Here is a 3,739-nt window from a genome sequence, read left to right on the forward strand (position 1 = left end):
GTATTTTATTCTCTTTGTAGCAATTGTGAATGGGAGTTCACTCATGATTTGGCTCTCTGTTTGTCTGTTTTTGGTGTATAAGAATGCTTGTGATTTTTGTACATTGATTTTGTATCCTGAGACTTTGCTGAAGTTGCTTATCAGCTTAAGGAGATTTTGAGCTGAGATGATGGGGTTTTCTAGATATACAATCATATCATCTGCAAACAGGGACAATTTGACTTCCTCTTTTCCTAATTGAATACCCTTTATTTCCTTCTCCTGCCTAATTGGCCTGGCCAGAACTTCCAACACTAAGTTGAATAGGAGTGGTGCGAGAGGGCATCCTTGTCTTGTGCCAGTTTTCAAAGGGAATGCTTCCAGTTTTTGCCCATTCAGTATGATATTGGTTGTGGGTTTGTCATAGATAGCTCTAATTATTTTGAGATACGTTCCATCAATACCTAATTTATTGAGAGTTTTTAGCATGAAGGTTGTTGAATTTTGTCAAAGGCCTTTTCTGCAACTATTGAGATAATTATGTGGTTTTTGTCTTTGGTTCTGTTTATATGCTGGATTACATTTATTGATTTGCGTATATTGAACCAGCCTTGCATCCCAGGGATGAAGCCCACTTGATCATGGTGGATGAGCTTTTTGATGTGCTGCTGGATTCGGTTTGCCAGTATTTTATTGAGGATTTTTGCATCAATGTTCATCAAGGATATTGGTCTAAAATTCTCTTTTTTGGTTGTGTCTCTGTCCAGCTTTGGTATCAGGATGATGCTGGCCTCATAAAATGAGTTAGGGAGGATTCCCTCTTTTTCTATTGATTGGAATAGTTTCAGAAGGAATGGTACCAGTTCCTCCTTGTACCTCTGGTAGAATTTGGCTGTGAATCCATCTGGTCCTGGACTCTTTTTGGTTGGTAAGCTATTGATTATTGCCACAATTTCAGATCCTGTTATTGGTCTATTCAGAGATTCAACTTCTTCCTGGTTTAGTCTTGGGAGGGTGTATGTGTCGAGGAATTTATCCATTTCTTCTAGATTTTCTAGTTTATTTGTGTAGAGGTGTTTGTAGCATTCTCTGATGGTAGTTTGTATTTCTGTGGGATCGGTGGTGATATCCCCTTTATCATTTTTTATTGCGTCTATTTGATTCTTCTCTCTTTTTTTCTTTATTAGTCTTGCTAGCGGTCTATCAATTTTGTTGATCCTTTCAAAAAACCAGCTCCTGGATTCATTAATTTTTTGAAGGGTTTTTTGTGTCTCTATTTCCTTCAGTTCTGCTCTGATTTTAGTTATTTCTTGCCTTCTGGTAGCTTTTGAATGTGTTTGCTCTTGCTTTTCTAGTTCTTTTAATTGTGATGTTAGGGTGTCAGTTTTGGATCTTTCCTGCTTTCTTATGTGGGCATTTAGTGCTATAAATTTCCCTCTACACACTGCTTTGAATGCGTCCCAGAGATTCTGGTATGTTGTGTCTTTGTTCTCATTGGTTTCAAAGAACATCTTTATTTCTGCCTTCATTTCGTTATGTACCCAGTAGTCATTCAGGAGCAGGTTGTTCAGTTTCCATGTAGTTGAGCAGTTTTGAGTGAGTTTCTTAATCCTGAGTTCTAGTTTGATTGCACTGTGGTCTGAGAGACAGTTTGTTATAATTTCTGTTCTTTTACATTTGCTGAAAAGTGCTTTACTTCCAACTCTGTAGTCAATTTTGGAATAGGTGTGGTGTGGTGCTGAAAAAAATGTATATTCTGTTGATTTGGGGTGGAGAGTTCTGTAGCTGTCTGTTAGGTCTGCTTGGTGCAGAGCTGAGTTCAATTCCTGGATATCCTTGTTAACTTGCTGTCTCGTTGATCTGTCTAATGTTGACAGTGGGGTGTTAAAGTCTCCCATTATTAATGTGTGGGAGTCTAAGTCTCTTTGTAGGTCACTCAGGACTTGCTTTATGAATCTGAGTGATCCTGTATGGGCTGCATATATATTTAGGATAGTTAGCTCTTCTTGTTGAATTGATCCCCTTACCATTATGTAATGGCCTTCCTTGTCTCTTTTGATCTTTGTTGGTTTAAAGTCTGTTTTGTCAGAGACTAGGATTGCAACCCCTGCCTTTTTTTGTTTTCCATTTGCTTGGTAGATCTTCCTCCATCCTTTTATTTTGAGCTTATGTGTGTCTCTGCACGTGAGATGGGTTTCCTGAATACAGCACACTGATGGGTCTTGACTCTTTATCCAATTTTCCAGTCTGTGTCTTTTAATTGGAGCATTTAGTCCATTTACATTTAAAGTTAATATTGTTATGTGTGAATTTGATCCTGTCATTATGATGTTAGCTGGTTATTTTGCTCGTTAGTTGATGCAGTTTCTTCCTAGTCTCGATGGTCTTTACATTTTGGCATGATTTTGCAGCGGCTGGTACCAGTTGTGCCTTTCCATGTTTAGTTCTTCCTTCAGGAGCTCTTTTAGGGCAGGCCTGGTGGTGACAAAATCTCTCAACATTTGCTTGTCTGTAAAGTATTTTATTTCTCCTTCACTTATGAAGCTTAGTTTGGCTGGATATGAAATTCTGGTTTGAAAATTCTTTTCTTTAAGCATGTTGAATATTGGCCCCCACTCTCTTCTGGCTTTAGAGTTTCTGCCGAAGAGATCCACTGTTAGCCTGATGGGCTTCTCTTTGTGGGTAACCCGACCTTTCTCTCTGGCTGCCCTTAACATTTTTTCCTTCATTTCAACTTTGGTGAATCCGACAATTATGTGTCTTGGAGTTGCTCTTCTCGAGGAGTATCTTTGTGGTGTTCTCTGTATTTCCTGAATCTGAACGTTGGCCTGCCTTGCTAGATTGGGGAAGTTCTCCTGGATAATATCCTGCAGAGTGTTTTCCACCTTGGTTCCATTCTCCCCGTCACTTTCAGGTACACCAATCAGACGCAGATTTGGTCTTTTCACATAGTCCCACATTTCTTGGAGGCTTTGTTCGTTTCTTTTTATTCTTTTTTCTCTAAACTTCCCTTCTTGCTTCATTTCATTCATTTCATCTTCCATCACTGATACCCTTTCTTCCAGTTGATCGCATCGGCTCCTGAGGCTTCTGCATACTTCACGTAGTTCTCAAGCCTTGGCTTTCAGCTCCATCAGCTCCTTTAAGCACTTCTCTGTATTGGTTATTCTAGTTATACATTCGTCTAAATTTTTTTCAAAGTTTTCAACTTCTTTGCCTTTGGTTTGAATTTCCTCCTGTAGCTCGGAGTTGTTTGATCATCTGAAGGCTTCTTCTCTCAACTCGTCAAAGTCATTCTCTGTCCAGCTTTGTTCCATTGCTGGTGAGGAACTGTGTTCCTTTGGAGGAAGAGAGGTGCTCTGCTTTTTAGAGTTTCCAGTTTTTCTGCTCTGTTTTTTCCCCATCTTTGTGATTTTATCTACTTTTGGTCTTTGATGATGGTGATGTACAGATGAGTTTTTGGTGTGGATGTCCTTTCTGTTTGTTAGTTTTCCTTCTAACAGACAGGACCCTCAGCTGCAGGTCTGTTGGAGTTTGCTAGAGGTCCACTCCAGACCCTGTTTCCCTGGGTATCAGCAGCGGTGTCTGCAGAACCGCGGATTTTTGTGATCCACGAATGCTGCTGTCTGATCATTCCTCTGGAAGTTTTGTCTCAGAGGAGTACCCGGCCGTGTGAGGTGTCAGTCTGCCCCTACTGGGGGGTGCCTCCCAGTTAGGCTGCTCGGGGGTCAGGGGTCAGGGACCCACTTGAGGAGGCAGT

The sequence above is a fragment of the Homo sapiens genome, chromosome X, assembly GCF_000001405.40.
Source record: "Homo sapiens chromosome X, GRCh38.p14 Primary Assembly".
Lineage (NCBI taxonomy): Eukaryota > Metazoa > Chordata > Mammalia > Primates > Hominidae > Homo > Homo sapiens.